This window comes from Homo sapiens, chromosome 11, assembly GCF_000001405.40.
Source record: "Homo sapiens chromosome 11, GRCh38.p14 Primary Assembly".
NCBI classification, from domain to species: Eukaryota; Metazoa; Chordata; class Mammalia; order Primates; family Hominidae; genus Homo; species Homo sapiens.
Window position 1 is genome coordinate 125,956,568 of NC_000011.10, and position 17,666 is coordinate 125,974,233.

Here is a 17,666-nt window from a genome sequence, read left to right on the forward strand (position 1 = left end):
CCAGAGTCACAATGTCAGCTGCCAGCATGACTCACTAGCTCCAAGTGTGTGTGTCTGTTTGTGTGTGTGTCTGTAATCTGGGTGAAAACACAAATGAATGCTTGTTCAACTGACTAGAAGACTCGGGACTCCGAGCCGCCTCTGCAGGAGACACAGATGAGAAGAAACGGCAAGAAAGCCAACGGGGGACCCGCCAGCACAAGGGACGTGGCGCCTGAAAGGAGACAGAAAATTGAGAAGCTTAAGAAGATTCTGTGGTTCTCACAGAGTTAGACTTTATTAGATAAGGGGTTTCGGCTACCCTCAAAGCTCTCAGGACTGGGGCTAGGGTTTAAGGAAGGCTTATTTAAATATGGGAAATAAAATACAAAAGGGCCACACCCGATGCAAAAGACTTTGCTGGCTTTCTGGTCAGACAAGCCTAGAGATGTGTATTTTCTTAGGGCAGTAAAACAAAACGTTTTCACAAGGAGGCTAAATTTCTATCCTGAAGTTCATAAACATGTGGCGCTCGGTTAATGGTAAAAATAGACAATGTGTGAGGCGGGACCGCTCCTCCTCATCCTCCCAAGCTCCTCTCCTACCCACCTCCCTTCCCTCCAAGGAAACGCAAAGTTGCCCCGAGGAGGTGGGCCTGCCTCCACATCGCCCCCAGGGTCAGGTATGTTCTCAGCGTCCCCTAAAACACTTGCCCAAGATCCTGCTCCTTCAGGGCCTTGATCTCTGCAGTCAGAACAGAGGGGTGTGCACAGGGGAGTTTCAGGGGAGGACAGGGGTGGGGGGTTCCAAAGAATTTCAGAGGAAGACATTCGCCCACCCCAATCACAAACTATAAGCAGCGTTGTACAAACAGGGAGTATTCCCACCTTCAGGGGCTATGCTATATGAAAGCAGCCTTCTCTTTTAATATAAAATCATATCAACCAAATAAAACCTGCCAAAGCTACATCATTTAAAATATGTACAGTTTCACACACAATATTACAACTTTAAGGAAAATAAAACATACTTTTCAATATGATACAAAGCATGCATCTCAAAGTCATTACTTTAAAAGAGAGCAACACAGGTAAAATTCAATGATAAACTTCACTTCTTGGCAGTACTATAGCTGGAATGAGATCTGTGGCATGATCAGCCCAAGATGGATGCATTGAGTCTTCATAGACTCATTCGACAAAAACACCCAGAAAGAAAGGCTTTTGCTAAGAACACTTCAAAAGGTTTAGAACATTGCAATGTAACTTGCACCCTGGCAGCACCTGTCACCAGACTGTCAGTGCAAAACTGAAAGAAAAACATTAAAAGGAGATCGTGAAATGATACAGTGGGAGCGGGGCAGTTTATGCTAAAACAATCACACAGAATTCTAGATGAGAAGGAACATGAATAGGCTTGACCAATTTCGTGATCACTGAGCACAGTAAAGATCAAATTTCCAGGTGGAGGTGGTAGACAGGGGGCGTCAAGGGGAGAAATGTGGACCTCTGGAAGACGAAGTCATAAGCAGAGCTCTGCCCGCGGAGGCCAGAGAGCAGCTTCTCTGGCTGCGGAGTTGGAGCCTCGGAGGAATTCCACGGCAGGGATAGATCACAGCATACGGAACGGGACTGGTTCCATCCAAAGAGTGAACCACAATGCTTTTGGAAAGCAGTATGGAAAAATGGGAGGAGCCCAGATTATGGCTCCAGATAAACTAGGTTCGGATTCAGGTCCCATGGCTCACTGAGTGACTTGGGGATTTTAATGCCAACTTTGTAGATGAGTTGTGGGGGTTAAATGAGTTAACAGTAACAAGCACCGAGCACAGTGCCTGGTACACAGTAGTTATTCAGCACGTGTTAGTGCTGTCTCCCACACTGTACCATGTCCTCTCATTTCCTGGTGAAGTGACATTAGGTAGGACTGTTTGGGTGCCTGTGCAGGGCAGAGCCAACTCACGCTTAGGGAGAACTCATACCGCCTAAATATAAAGGCAATTATATATATATATATATATGTGTGTGTGTGTGTGTGTGTGTGTGTTTATATATATATATTTATATATTTCAATATATAAAGGCATTTTTTATAAATAAAATACAATAAAAAGAATAACACTTAAAACAGCGTTACTAATAATATAAATAAAGCAGTCCACAATGAGATTGTCCTAAAGGTAAAGCCATTTTCTCTTCCTCGTGGACAGATCCCATATTCAAACTCAATCTTTAAAAGCAGTTCATGACCTAAGGCTCATGCTAATACACCTGTTTCCTAAATCAAAATGGCTGTCTACGGACAATGACTCCCCAGTTTTCTAAAACTCCCTTTGTGACAGCATTGCTGTAACTTGATTGGCTAACACAGGGTATGTTTTCATATTCTGTGCGCTGGGACTTTGTCCTTTGCTAGTCACAGAAGTAAGGGATGCAGCTATCCCCCTCCAGAGCTAACTGCATTTAAGCAACATGAAGAATAAATCCAGTATACTATAGGCACGGACATCTGGAATGTAGAACTTGGGTCTACAGCATCCCTAATATCCGACTAGGGAATTACATTCACTACATTCTACTGGAAGTAACTCTTGCATAGTGACCCAGCTTAAACAAGCACATTTTCACTAACAGTTCTATTATAAAATATATAGACATATGTAAGGGAATACTGATGCATTTATACAGAAAGTTGGTTAACACAGTATTGTATTCTATTCCACTGCGATTTCTGGGAAACTAACATTTCTTCACTTCTGCTGGAATTGCTTGACTCTATAGAAAGAGAATAATTTTCTGTTTCTTTCCCCAAAGGGATGCACAATGCACAAAGGAGCAGTGATCCTTGAAAGCTTGACTCAAGCTATGAAACACACTTACATAATTATTGTTTTTTAATGTGAAGAGCCTTCCAAAGGCAGCTGCAAATGTCCTTGTCACGCAGAGGCAGCCGTGGTCAGGAGCTCTGCTGACCAACTTGGCTTTAGGTGCCTATTTACAAGGGTGACATTCTGAAAAAGGTATCAGGAAATTTCAGGAAAAAAACCCAAAACAAACAAACAAAAAAAAACAAAAAACAAACAAACAAAAAAAAACCCTTTTCTTCCAAAGTAAGTCTTTTCTGACACTCACCCCTGCAGGCCGTTGCCTATGCTGGAGATGGGGGATGACTAGTTTCGGCGTCATGGCACCATAAGCGTGTCCCTGTGCTAATCCAACAGACTGGAGAGCTCCCGCCAAGACAGGCTCCCTGCAGCCCTCCCCTTTCTTTCTTCTGAAAATGTGTATCTTTCTCTTCAAGCCACCATTTAATGTCTTATTTTGTTCCTACTCCGAGAAACAGTCAAAAAGAGCCCATAGTGGCCATTTTATAAATTAATGTAATTTTAAAGCAGTGGGACATGAGGCATTATTTGTCTCTCTGGCCTTGGTTCCTTTTCTGCATACTGCCGTAATTCATCAAGACCTTACACTCCACCACGTCCATAACACTATGACTAGTGCCTAGCAAACTGAACATCACTCGTGCCCACGTGCAGATACAAAGTCAACAGGTCACATTACCACTTCTGTGGAAGGCACTCTTGTAAAATCCGTCAGCCAGGTCTGTTATTATAAACATGGGTCACAACTGCAGTTGATTTCAAAGTGTTCTCAGGAAGTCTGATAATACAGGCCAGACGTGGTGGCTCACGCCTGTAATCCTCGCACTTTGGGAGGCGGAGGCGGGTGGATCACTTGAGGTCAGGAGTTCAAAACCAGCCTGAAACCTTGTCTCTAATAAAAATACAAGACAATTAGCTGGACGTGGTGGCAGGTGCCTGTAGTCCCAGCTACTCAGGAGGCTGAGGCGGGAGAATTGCTTGAACCTGGGAGGCGGAGGTTGCAGTGAGCCAAGATCGAGCCATTGCACTCCAGCCTGGATGACAGCAAGACTCCATCTCAAAAAACAAACAAAAAAAAGTCTGAGAATACACTATTGAAAGACCATTTTCCACCTGAAAACCCAGCTGGTGGCAACCTTCAACGGGCCCCTGCATTCCCTCCTAGCCGAAGCAGCCAAGAGATGGGATCCTTTGCATGAGGAGCTCTTGCTGTCACTATAGCTGTTAGAAAACATGGAAGGACCCCTCTGCCCTCCAGGTGACTGAATACTATGCAAAACAAGGTTGTTTCCTACCGAGGGGGAGGAAGGAATGGGGAAGAAAACATTTAAGGCATAAATAATATAAAAGGGCACACGTTTTAAGATACATTCATATGACATTACTACTACAAAAAAATAAATAATGATTTTCTCTGATTTGAATTAAGGTCCTTCACACAGTTCGCTCCCAGGCCTGTTGTGTGCAGTTACCGGCTTGAAGTTGGAACATGACTGGTTGTTTGCATGTCCTCAGGTTTCCCGGGGCTGCTGAAGGACCTCTGTCGGGCTGTCTAAAGGAATGCCAGGTGGAGACCACATTGTCTTCTCAGCACAGCCCTCGGGGACAGGTGGCAAAATAAGAGCATTCCAACTTACAATGTTGATCTCTGTTTCTGAATGGGCACAGCTGTCTCCTGAAACACAGCAGGGTTTGGGAGCATTATCAAATGATAAAGGCTGATTTTTACAAAGCAGTCTAAAAACTTCTTCACACTTTGAGCCAAGAAGAAAGAAAAACGAGCATAAATAGAACCTGGTTTGTGTGTGGTTTGAATTTGAGGGCGACAGAAGGTTTAAAAGGTTTAAAATAAAGTTGAGCTCTCATGAGAAGCTATACAATTCACCTGAGAAGTAAAGCAACCCCTTAAAAGCCCTAAAATAACCACCTGAAAGAAAGGTTACAACTCCAGAACCAACTCAAATCAAAAAGGGGCTCATGTTCACAAAATGCATTCTTCCAGCAAGTCTTCTGCTACCCTACGAATGAAATCAAAGCCTATTTCCAAATAGATTTTCCAAAGTGTGATGGGATTGACAGCCTGAGATGAAGGACATGAGTAATAACAGAATTTCAAAGAATCCTTTATCTTGAGTCCTATCTTTTCCTGAAGGACCCAGCACCCCACCCAGTCTCCCAAGAAATATGTAAACTAATCATAGAGGGGAAACTCTGAAAGCATCACCTTCCCATACACAGCTCTTAGCTAACTGAAGATGATCTGGAATCCTAAGGTTGATCATGCCTTCCTGACCTCTGCTGAACTCTGCTGGATCTTCTGAGCCATCAGAGCTGACGTCATTTACAATGTCCTGACAGCAGGTACGCTGAGTAGGGACTGGTTCCACATTGTCCTTGACGCTCTCCTCCGGCAACTGGCCACAATCAGGGACTGCGGAAGTCAGGCATACAGGCACCTTCACGTGACTGAGGGGCTTCATTTCCAAACCATCCTGAGGATAAGGTGCTACCACAGGGACCACAGGAGGAGGGCTGCTGCTGAAAGTGCTGTTGGTTTTGGTGAAACACCTGCAGAGGTTAAACCAAAAGAAACAGAATTGTGTCTAGAGGAACCAATAATTAAAATAAGCCTATTCTGAAATATCATTTGGTATTCTGTATTCACAGACTCTTAAGAAAGAGTGATGCTTAAAAACAACTAAATGATTCACTATGATTTGAAATACTGAGAATTTCAAAATGATAGTGAAAGTGCCATACAACAGGAGAATACACCAAAAGAATACTTAAGAATGCATTCTTATTCAATGTCCCAGCACACAGGCTTCCTTTGTCTTAGTCCACTGTCAGAAGTCATCTACTTCATTATTAACTGGCTCCCAAAAGTAGCACCCAGAAGGAAAAGGCCATTAGCTACTGGGAAGAATGAGAGAATAAAAGAGGAAGAGGAGGACAGGAAGCTAAGAAATGTATGGCCACACGAAAGAAACAACCTTAGGAAAGTTAACCAAAAACACACTGCTTTGAAATCAGATTATATGTTCCCCCTCATTCCTGGAGGAAACGCTATAAGGATTAGACATTCAAAATCTAGGAATTTTTAATTTTTCAACTTTTTTCTTCACAGAATTGCTGGAATTTATTACCACTGAGTATTTCACGTCAATTCTGTTCTACTTTTACTTCCTGCCTTTACGTACAATGTGTGTTTTCTTTAATTTTTTTCTTTCTGTTCTTCAGACTGGACAATTTCTACTGATCTATCTTCTTGTCCATTAACTTGTGGTCTCCAACAGCTGTTAAGCTCATCTAGTAAATTTTCCATTTTAGTTACTGAGCTCTTTAGCTCTGGAATTTCCATTTGGTCTTTTGTACCGGCTCTGTTTATCGGCTGAAATTCCCTATATGTTCATTTATTATGTGTATACCTTCCTTTAAATCCTTGAACATATTTATAATGGCTGCTTAAAGTCATTATCTGCTAATTGTGACATCTGGGTCCATCTCAGAGTCTGTTTCTATTGACTTTTTTTCCCTTAAGTAATTATCACATTTTCCTGTTTCTTCACATATATAATAATTTTTTTTAAACTAGATTTTCCTTTTAATTTTCTGGCTGCTCTGTTAGCATCACACTCAGTTCTCTGATAGCTTCTGCTTGTATCCTTGCCCCAAGATTGGAGAATGCTTTCAGACAGAAACCCATAAACTCATAAATCTCACACATTTTATTTCAAGGGTAGACTCTTATTCAGTTTCTGCCTGCTTCTGCTTATTCTCCAATACTTTCAAATTATCCAGATTTTATCATTATTATCTGTTGATGATCAAGCTATTCTACCATTACTGGAAGTTGGAGCCTTAGTGACACTTTTTTTCCCCCCTATAATTGGGAGTAAGAAAAGTCTGGAGATGACATTGCACTGGGCTTTGATTTGGACATGTTAGGTAGGAAACACATAGGACTGACCAGTAGTATCCTGGAGCTAGATAACGTTAGGCAATGAAGATAAGAATTATTTGGATTTGCATCCTTTAAACATGGGCTGATATGTTTCTGGGGCAAAGAAAAATCAGTAAAAGTCTAATCAACTGTTGCTAGCAGTTACACTCGTTCAAGTTACTGGAAATACCAAATCTTAAGCATGAAGACAGACATGAACCTGAAAGAGAATAAGATATCTGTCAGCAAACCAAATCTTTAATTTAAATAACTCCAACTTTAGTTTCAAATAGAGAAATATACTCACTATATAGATAATTAAATTCAGAGACCAGACACCTGGTAAGTAAAGTGTGACAAGTATTCATCTGTGCAGAATAATTTGAGTATGGTATTTTCTAATACGACTCTGATTTTAATGTTTAATTCTATAGCAAAAAAATGCCTGATTTAGATGTAACCTATGTGTTTCCACACATGTCTTCAGTGAATAAATAGTGAAGAAAGCTCTGGTGCAGAAGGACGTTAACTGGAGCCACAATCAGAGCACTGGTCTAGATGTGTCATGACTACAGAAGAGTACAGCATTCCCAACTTACTCTCTTGTCTATTTTATTCAACCCTGAACTTATAGAAAAATTTTCTGGATGCTGGCGAAGGTGAGCACTAATCTGAAACCCACTTAAAAATGTCCATGTGATCAGTGTCTTCCTTTCCTGCATTTTGTTCTTAGTCTCCCAATACTCAGGGAACCCTCAAGTCCCCCTGAATGTATTCAATGCATGGAATCTACAGACTCTAAACGGGGTGAAATGTGGGGCAAGGTCGTGGGGAGAAAAGCCTTTGTGAGTTCAAACTACTACTGCTGAGAATTTAATGATTATACATCTATATAACTAACCTTATCTGAAAGAACCCTTTATTGAGAAAGCATTTGCTAAATACCTTCCTTAGGTCAGACATCGTGGTAGGCACTGAAAGAGTGAAGAGTGAAGCAGGAAGAGAGCAGAGAGGGCTTTTACAAAGACTGCAACTCAGGAGCAAATCATGTCAGTCCCAGAATGACTTAAAGTGATCTGGCCTTTGTCCAACTGCCTGCCAAAGGCAGAAGTAAATCCTTTCTAGAGGGGGAAAACATCTTCCAGAAACTCTGCAAGTTTGTGTATCTGATGTCTAAAATTCAAAGGTAAGTAAAGCAGAGTTCCAGCTCCCAGTCTAGCAAAGGAGACAGACCAAAAAAAAAAAAGGTTACAATATAATCAATATAATGTAGGGTTATCTAAGAAAAGATAAAAGACACGGGGAGCAATTAACTTTGAGATAAGTCATACATGTGTGGCTGACAAGAATAGGGCACTTTGCACGTTCTAGCCAGAGACCAGTCCCAGTGTATTCTTCCATATTGCATCAGACTCAATCATCTCATAATCAGGAAAATTACATTAGAGAACAATTATGGAATTAGAGAGGAAGAAGGACTCTAATATCAAAAGATCAGAAATATCTTTCGTCGGGGCAACCTATATGGCTGCCACGTTTTGTTGAAAATAATTCTTTTTTTGTTTGTTTTTGAGAAGGAGTCTCGCTCCGTTGCCCAGGCTGGAGTGCAATGGAGTGATCTCAGTTCACTGCAACCTCCGCCTTTCGGGTTCAAGCAATTCTCCTGCCTCAGCCTCCCAAGTCACTGGGATTATAGGTGCATGCCACCACACCCAGCTAATTTTTTGTGTGTATTTTAGTAGAGACGGGGTTTCACCGTGTTGCCCAGGCTGGTCTCAAACTCCTGAGTTCAGGCAATCCACCCGTCTCTGCCTCCCAAAGTGCTAGGATTACGGGCGTAAGCCATCACGCCTGGCCAAAAATAATTCTTAAAAATTAAATTCCTGACTTCTGGCTATGGCTGATTAGCTTGTATCAGAACAATTCTGATTGTTCCTGCTAAGAACAACTAAAAAAAATGGAGGAATTTTGTCTTAAATCTGTTAAAGGCATGTGAGGGCTACCAAAGTACTCGAGGGGCTGAGATTCTGCAGGAAAGGTCCGAGTGGCCCTGAGCATCAGCACCACTTTTCTTCTGGAGGCATCTGCTCGATTCAGTGCAGGAGGAAACAAGGTGTCAAGAAGAAAGAGACAGATAAGAAGCTGAGCAGAACTTTTGGCTGTTTCATGGCACTGGGAGGACAAAAATTGGAGTTCAGCGTCTGCCAAGGAGAAAAGGCCCAGTAAACACCCTAGGCTTTTAAGTGGGACCCTTGAAGGGCTACACCCTAAAAATAAGAGTGAAGCAGGAAGAAAGCAGAGAGGGCTTTTACAAAGACTGCAACTCAAGAGCAAATCATGTCAATCCCAGAATGACTTAAAGTGATCTGGCCTTTGTCCAACTGCCTGCCAAAGGCAGAAGTAAATCCTTTCTAGAGGGGAAAACATCTTCCAGAAACTCTGCAAGTTTGTATATCTGATGTGTACAATTCAATAAAAAGCCTGGTTACTGTGGCTCACACCTGTAATCCCGGCACTTTGGGAGGCCGAGGCAGACGGATCACCTGACGTCGGGAGTTCGAGACAAGCCTGACCAACATGGAGAAACCGCGTCTCTACTAAAAAATACAAAAAATTAGCCAGGCGTGGTGGCGCATGCCTGTAATCCCAGCTACTCAGGAGGCTGAGGCAGGAGAACCGCTTGAACCCGAGAGGCAGAGGTTGTGGTGAGCCAAGATCATGCCATTGCACGCCAGCCTGGGCAAGAAGCGCGAAATTCCATCTCAAAAAAAAAAAAAAAATTCGATAAAAAGTACTGGGCACATCAGGAGACAAGAACAAGAGAAAAACAAGTGATGCAGATAGTGAGTGAGCAAAGACTTTAAAAACTGGATGAATACATTCAATAAAGTAGATGACAAGAATTTTAACAGAGAACTAGAATCTAATAATAATAATCACTTGGAAATTCTGAAATTAACAGTAAAGTAACCGAACTTTAAGAACTCAAGACATGGGGATAAGAGCATGCTGGGCACAGGCGAACAGAGGATTGCTGACCACGAAGCACATCAGTTCCCACGACAAGGGATGGAAAATATGAAAGCAGCTGAAGGAACAGAGGAGGCACCGTATGGCGAAAAACTCTGTATTTAACTGGAGTCTCTCTGCAGGGGGAAAGGAGAGAATGCAACAGAAGCCGCACTGGAGACACAGAAGCTAAGAGTTTTCTAAACCTGATGAAAGCTCAAGCCGCAGATCCAAGAAGCTCTGTGGACCCCAGGCAGAATACAAAGAAAATTACACCGATCAATGCCAATAATTAAATGGGTAGAAGCAAAATACAAAGACAAAATCAAAAAAAGCAGCCAGAAGAAAAAGATGTATTACCTTGAAAGGGAACAACAATAGCTGTACAGATGATTTTTCAACAGAAATGATGGAAGCAATAAAGTAACAGAATAATGTCTTTAAAGTACAGAAAGACAGTAACTGCCAATCTAGAAGTCAATTAGAGGTTAAAAAAAAAAAGAAAAAACCTTCAAAAAGGAAGACAAATTAAAGATATTCTTAGACAACAAAGCTGGGAAAATCTGTCACCTTCAGTCTTGTACTGTAAGAAATATTAAGGGAAGTTCTTCAAGTTGAAGGAAAATGACTAGCAACAGATTTAAAAAAAAAAAAGGAAATACAGAAAGGAATGAGTAGCAACAAAAAAAGAATGCAGGGAATTCTGAATAAATATGGATTGCAAAAGCAGTAATGTTAATATCTTAGAGGATTTTAAATATTTTTAGAATACAAACATATGAAGAAAACAACACAAAACACTGGAGGGGGAAATGGAGTTAAAAATGTTCTAAAGTATTTGTATTGTCTGGAAAGTCGTAAAAGTCCTAATTCACATTAAACTCTAACTAATGTCATAATGGCTAGCACCAAGCACATAGAAAATGACACACAATAGGACCTCAAAAATGTTTTTTAAAAATGATAAACATTAGAACATCAGACTTTTTGCTTTTTTAATGATAGTTATTTCTGTCCTAGTTCAATATTGATTCTGTGATCTGTAAGGTCCTTCTATTATCTGTCTGCTTCAAAGTTGTCTGACTTACACTTCAATCTCCTGGAGCAAACGCAATGACAGTTCTCAGTGTCAGATACCTTAGGACACACAGCACAGTCAGGTACTTAATGAAATCCCTCAACAGTGATGGCCTAAAATACACTAAGTGATCTTCTGCCTTGATGTCGCATTGCTCTGCAAGAATCTGGAGGTAATAAAAAGCTACTAGAAACCTGTATTTTCTTTATGGGTCTCACTCTGTTGCCCAGGCTGGGTACGATCATGGCTCACTGCACCGTTGACCTCCCTGGCTCATGTGATCCTCCCACCTTAGCCTCCAGAGCAGCTGAGGCTATGAGAATAGGGCACTTCCCACATTCTAGGTAGAGACTAGTCCCAGTATATTCTTCCATATTGCATCAGACTCAATCAGACTACAGGCACGTGCTACCATTCCTGAAAAATTTTTAAATTTTTTTTGTAGAGAAGGGGGTCTCATTATGTTGCCCAGTCTGGTCTTGAACTCCTAGGCTCAGGCAATCTTCCTACCTCAGCCTCCTAAAGTGCTAGAATTATAGGTGTGGGCCACCACGCCTGGCTAAAACCTATATTTTAAAGATGGAGAAGTATCAGATCAGAAAGAAAAGTTTTCATTTAAAAGAAATAAAATTAAGATACAGGAAAAAAAATGCATATACACATATTTGCCAGAATTTGAAAACCTAGGACAGTTCCCTACAAAATATTAGAAATTAATAACCTGTTTATACAGATTGAACTTGAATGAACTCATAATGTTGATATAACAAAACAATGATGACTCGCCAGACAATGAGATGCCCTCAAAGCCTTCTGCTTCCTTCTGTTTAATTTCTTTTTTTCTGCTCTTGTCTTTAATTTAAAGCCAAGTTACAGAATGAGATTTTTTAATGAAGTCTAAAGGCAGACTAATAGTTTGTAAAGTACTTCTGTCAGAGTGACAGTGAAGTTTTACACATGGGGCAGGACTGGAGGAGCGGGCGAGACAGAGGCGCAAGGGCCAACCACAAGTGTGGTTATCAGCGTGTCGACACAGGTTTTATGGGGAGCTAACAGGCGTATGAAATACACACACTTCTTAAAGAAATTCCAGATATTTAGCAAGAGAGAAGTACAATTTCCTATTACCTACTCTTTAGCATCTGTTTTTCAGATAAGTAAAACAGGAAATCATAGCAGTGTTTACTTTATTCTGAACTATGATCCTCAGTCACTAGAGTGGTGTTGACGGTAACATACTTGGGAGTTAGATCTGTAAAGCAACTGTGACCTGAATTTCAGCATCAACCACATTGATTTAAAATTTTCTAGTACACTGAATCTTAACTCATAATCATCAGTAATTAACCAATTAGCTAACCAAATGTAAATGATTCAGTTAAATTACTTTTAGTTCAATTCCAGATGTCTACATGTGTCAGCATAAAAATGGCTTTAACTTAGGGGTTACATGTTGAGATACAGGCATAAAGAACATCATCTGCTAAAAAGGAACATAGTCTGTTCTGAATATAACCAGACATGATATATGAAAACTATTATTATTATTATCATTGCGATGAAGTTTTGCTCTCATTGCCCAGGCTGGAGTGCAATGGCGTGATCTCAGCTCACTGCAACCTCCGCCTCCCAGGTTCAAGTGATTCTCCTGCCTCAGCCTCCCGAGTAGCTGGGATTACAGGCATGCGCCACCATGCCCAGCTAATTTTGTATTTTTAGTAGAGACAGGGTTTCTCCATGTTGGTCAGGCTGGTCTTGAACTCCCGACCTCAGGTGATCCGCCTGCCTTAGTCTCCCAAAGTGCTGGGATTACAGGCGTGAGCCACCACGCCTGGACCGTGAAAACAAATATTTTACTAATAATGCTTTAGTTAAAATTTCCAAAGCAATTAGATGATCACAAAAATCATATCTGTACATATGTAAACTTAAGAGACAAATCTAAGGTAGTAAATAAGAAAACAGGACAAATGTCTGCAAACATATGACATTCAATAAAATGCTCTCACAATGCACATTTTACAGTTTATATAATGCAAATAGTTTGTAACTTCACTATCTTAGGCTTCTCAAATGGTCTTTCAAATGCAGTTATTACTGGCTTAAGGTGGAATAAAAGTTTTTACTGAGTTTTCTCTAGCTCAATGAAACTACTTTGTTTAATCTTAAGTTTAAAAACATTGAGTAAATGGAGCTCTATGCATCTTGCTACATACAAAAATCTAAGCTGTTTTGTAAAACCTCAGGTGGTCTGGGACCTGTTAGTTTACTAAGATACCTTTTAGTAACACAGGAAAGGCCTGTCTGACCAATCTGAAAGATAGGAAAATGACTATTGTGGTATCACAAAAAATAATAAAATATTCTTTAAGCAACACTCTGAATAGCAGACTAGGAAATAGAAGATTGGAAGAGTAGTGTAGGATTGTGCTTGGAAGAATATTCTTGTAAAACTATACAGCACCTCTGAAATATTTTCTAGAATGTATTCGAAGTATTCCACTTCTGATTACACAGTTGAATATTTGTTAAGCATGATTATGTACAGAATTACTCTGATTAGATGACTATATAATTTTTGCATTAAGTTTCCTCTTTTGATTATGCCTAGAGGGAAAGAACTATCCGTGAATTTCTTGGATGTGTGATACTTGTTCTCATGCATATATTCTTGAGACTTCGGAAATAGTTACATCTTGGTGGTAGTTTATGTTTTTTTTTTTTTTTTTTTTTGAGACAGAGTCTTGCTCTGTCGCCAGGCTGGAGTGCAGTGGCGCGATCTCGACTCACCGCAACCTCTGCCTCCCGGATTCAAGCAATTCTCCTGCCTCAGGCTCCAGAGTAGCTGAGATTACAGGCGCGCGCCACCACGCCTGGCTGATTTTTGTTTTTTTAGTAGAGATGGGGTTTCACCATGTTGGTCAGGCTGGTCTCGAACTTCTGACCTCGTGATCTGCCTGCTTCAGTCTCCCAAAGTGCTGGGATTACAGACGTGAGCCACCGCACCCGGCCAGTAGTTTATGTTAAAATTCCACTCACCTCTGCTGTTTCCACTAGTCACTGTGTCATTTTGCTGACCCAGCTCTTATTTTCGGGAGCTTATCAGTTACTACCTAAAGAACCCTGATGGCACCGCTCCAGGGCCATGGCCGTCTTCCCTTCTCGATATCTGCTCTGTTGGATGCTGCGATGACCGCAGCATTAGAGTGGGAGTTTCCTTTTGGGAATTAATCTATCAGCAGCTGTCACATAAAACATGACAGTAAATGTTGAGTGACAACAAATGACTGAGTGTATTCCTGAACATGGCAAGTTGACAGACACACACGAGCTTATAAAGAAAGACAAAAAGCTGGACTCCCTGACAACAGGCGCTAGGTCTCCATCTTAGAAGTACGAGACAGACTTGGGGAGATATATAACTTCCCCAAAAGGAAAGCACTGATCAATTTTTAAAATTCAACACAGCACTCTGAATTTCTTAGGGAAATAGGGAGATTACCATAGATGGAAGAGAAGCTGAATGCCTGTTTTCTGCTGGAAGAAAAAGCTCAGGTGAACTGGACAACTTGTTGTTTTAATACTTAGCAAACCAACTGGGTAGATCAAACCTTAGGCCTGAAAGAACTGCTATGATAATTAACGTTCTCCGGTGGCTCACGCCTGTAATCCCAGTACTTTGGGGGGCCAAGGCGGGCGGATCACGAGGTCAGGAGACCAAGACCATCCTGGCTAACACAGTGAAACCCCATCTCTACTAAAAACATAAAAAATTAGCTGGGTGTGGTGGCGGGCACTTGTAGTCCCAGCAACTCAGGAGGCTGAGGCAGGAGAATGGCGTGAACCTGGGAGGTGGAGCTTGCAGTGAGCCGAGATCGCACCACTGCACTCCAGCCTGGGCGACACAGCGAGACTCTGTCTCTAAATAAATAAATAAATAAATAAATAAATAATAATAATTAATGTTCTCATATTCATCTCTACATGTTGTTGTCATCGGAGGACATCTGACATCCACGGAGGGTTTCAAGTTGGTGAAAGAGCATTCCCAAATCCAACACACAGACTTTTAAGGTTGTCATTATACAAAACTCTGAAGTCATTTGTAGTATCTCTGTTCTCTAAAGCACCGTTCCCAGTAGTTTTACTACTTCTCTTGACTATCAGCCATGTAATTTGTACTTTTTTTCCCAGATGAATTATATAATTTTTCCAAGCTGATTTTCGCTGGGAGACTTCCTGTCCATCTCCAGTCTCTCTACGACCCTTCGAGTTAATTTCTCATTCCTTCCTGATGGGGTCTCTCGGTCCGTTCATCTGTGAATTTCATCAGTGTCCTCTCTACTCTCTCTTACAAATTATCAAGGCTGATGCTAAAAAAGACCAGATTTAATGCCAATCCCTTTCCATTAAACTAGCCAAGCAACTGATAAGCCACATTTAATTACATATCCAGAACTGCATTACTGCCTTTTGAATTCAGGAGAAGAGAAGAGAAGGGTAGAAAGCTTTCGATGTTTTTTGATTAAAATCCATTTAACTCTTGAAATGCCCAAATGGCACAAGGATTTCTTGATTAGGTCTCTGGTGTAAGGAACTGGCTCTCTGCAAAGCTGCCTTAAATATGCTTCTTTCTAGGCATTCATAGTGAGCTTTACATATTACTCTTAAAAACTGCAAAGGGGTCAGGCGCGGTAGCTCGCGCCTGTAATCTCAGAACATTGGGAGGCCGAGGCGGGCAGATCACATGAGGCCAGGAGTGCGAGACCAGCCTAGCCAACATGGCAAAACTCCGTCTCTACTAAAAATACAAAAAAATTAGCCAGCCATGGTGCCACACGCCTGTAATTCCAGCTACTAAGGAGGCTGAGGCATGAGAATCGCTTGAACCCAGGAAGCGGCGTTGCAGTGAGCCAAGACTACACCACTGCACTCCAGCCTGGGTACTGGAGTGAGACTCTGTCTCAAAAAAAACAAAAGAAAATCAAAAGAAACTAAAAAGGATTCAAGGTCATGGAACCCAGTGAGGCAAGCGGTCATTTACAGCATGTCACAAGAGCCCCAGAATCAACTACAACTTCCCCACAGATCTATACAGTGCACCCTCCCCTCACCTGCTCTCAACTTTTCACATCATACTCTCATTTACATAATAGAGGCAACGTTTTCCCTCCAGATGGTTATTACTAAAATAGATGGGTGATAAAAGGGGTCAAGGGTTGGCAATGTTTCTTAAAAGCTCACTCCAAGAAATATGCTTAAGTTTACAACTGAGAAGGCAGAGAAAAAAGAACCTGGAGTGGCAGGGCACAGAGCAGGTAAGAGTCCGTACGGAAAAGGCCCCATGCAAGACTTCTCCAGTTCTCAGTATCTGTGGAATAAAGAAGGCGAATTGCAGAGGCACCACCAGATCTCAGAGGACAACTCTCCAGAAGTATACTGTGGGGCAGCTCCTCTTCATCTCCTGCAGTGTTCTCTGCCTCAGTGACTGCGCCCAGACACCTAGACATCATCTTCAACTGCTTCCTCCACTGGCCTCTTCAACCAATTACTTGGTCTTTTTTTTTTTTTTTTTTTTTTTTAAATCCCTCAGACTCATTCAGACTCATCTCCTTCTAAATCCTAATTCTCTCAAAATTCTTCTCTTTCTCTCCCTACAACTATGCTAGTCTACTGTTTCTCATCTGGACTACTGCAACTGCCATCTAACTGGTCTCCAGGTATCCTCTCCTGCCCCATCCAATTTAGTCTCCAAACTGCATCCAGAGTGTTCTTTAAAAACCCAAATTCAGCTGGGCATGGTGGCTCATGCCTGTAATCCCAGCACTTTGGGAGGCCAAGACGGGTGGATCATGAGGTTAGGAGTTCAAGATCAGCCTGACTGACATGGTGAAACCCCGTCTCTACTAAAAATGCAAAAAATTAGCCGGGCGTGGTGGCGGGCACCTGTAATCCCAGCTACTTGGGAGGCTGAGGCAGAGAATTGCTTGAACCCGGGAGGTGGAGGTTGCAGTGAGCCAAGATCGTGCCACTGCACTCCAGCCTGGGCAACAGAGTGAGACTCCATCTCAGAAAACAAAAACAAAAACAAAAACGAATTCCTGCTTAAAACCATCCACAGATGTGCCATGGCTCTGTGTGATCTGATTTCACTCGCCTTTTAATTCTGACTCCTCCAGTTACTAGGTTTCTGCTATGTTGGCCTTCTTTAAGTTCTTTGAGGATTCAGGCATTCTGTTTTAGAGATTGTGTATAAATGGTCCCCTTTGCCTGGAAAGCTCTAAACTTATTTCCTTCCCTTAGACCTAATTTTATAAATCTTCAGAGCTCAGCAAAATGCCACTTGCTTACAGAGGGCTTTCCTCTCTCCCACATTCTTTACTTTTCCTTTAAAGCATCCAGATTTAATTACATATTCATTTTTATTATTTATGTCATTTTTTTTTTCTTTTGAGACAGAGTTTCGCTCTTGTTGCCCAGCCTGGAGTGCAGTGGCGTGATCTTGGCTCATTGCAACCTCTGCCTCCCGGGTTCAAGTGATTCTTCTGCTTCATCCTCCGGTGTAGCTGGGATTACAGACACTTGCCACCATGCCCAGCTAATTTTTGTATTTTTAGTAGAGATGGGGTTTCACCACATTGGCCAGGTTGGTCTCAAACTCCTGACCTCAGGTGATCCGCCCGCCATAGCCTCCCAAAGTGCTGGGATTACAGGCGTGAGCCACTGCACCCCGCCGATTTATGTCATTTTCTTAAAAGATATGTCTCCCCTAT

The 17,666-nt window shown here is 41.7% G+C and overlaps 1 protein-coding gene across 13 annotated transcripts in view; it reads right to left on the minus strand.

The window, feature by feature from the left end:
• CDON (cell adhesion associated, oncogene regulated) overlaps positions 254 to 17,666 on the minus strand; it is a 106,515-nt gene continuing 89,102 nt past the window's right edge. For 7 of the 13 annotated variants that reach the window (XM_017017873.2, NM_001243597.3, NM_001441162.1 and 4 more), the window contains exons 19-20: positions 5,088 to 5,431; positions 254 to 4,538 (exon numbers count right to left, since the gene is read on the minus strand). In XM_017017873.2, the coding sequence (XP_016873362.1) occupies positions 4,375 to 4,538; positions 5,088 to 5,431 (508 nt within the window). In that variant the 3' untranslated portion in view covers positions 254 to 4,374. The remainder of the gene's footprint in view (positions 4,539 to 5,087; positions 5,432 to 17,666) is intronic. The other 6 variants (NM_001441166.1, NM_016952.6, NM_001441164.1 and 3 more) reach the window with 1 other exon arrangement.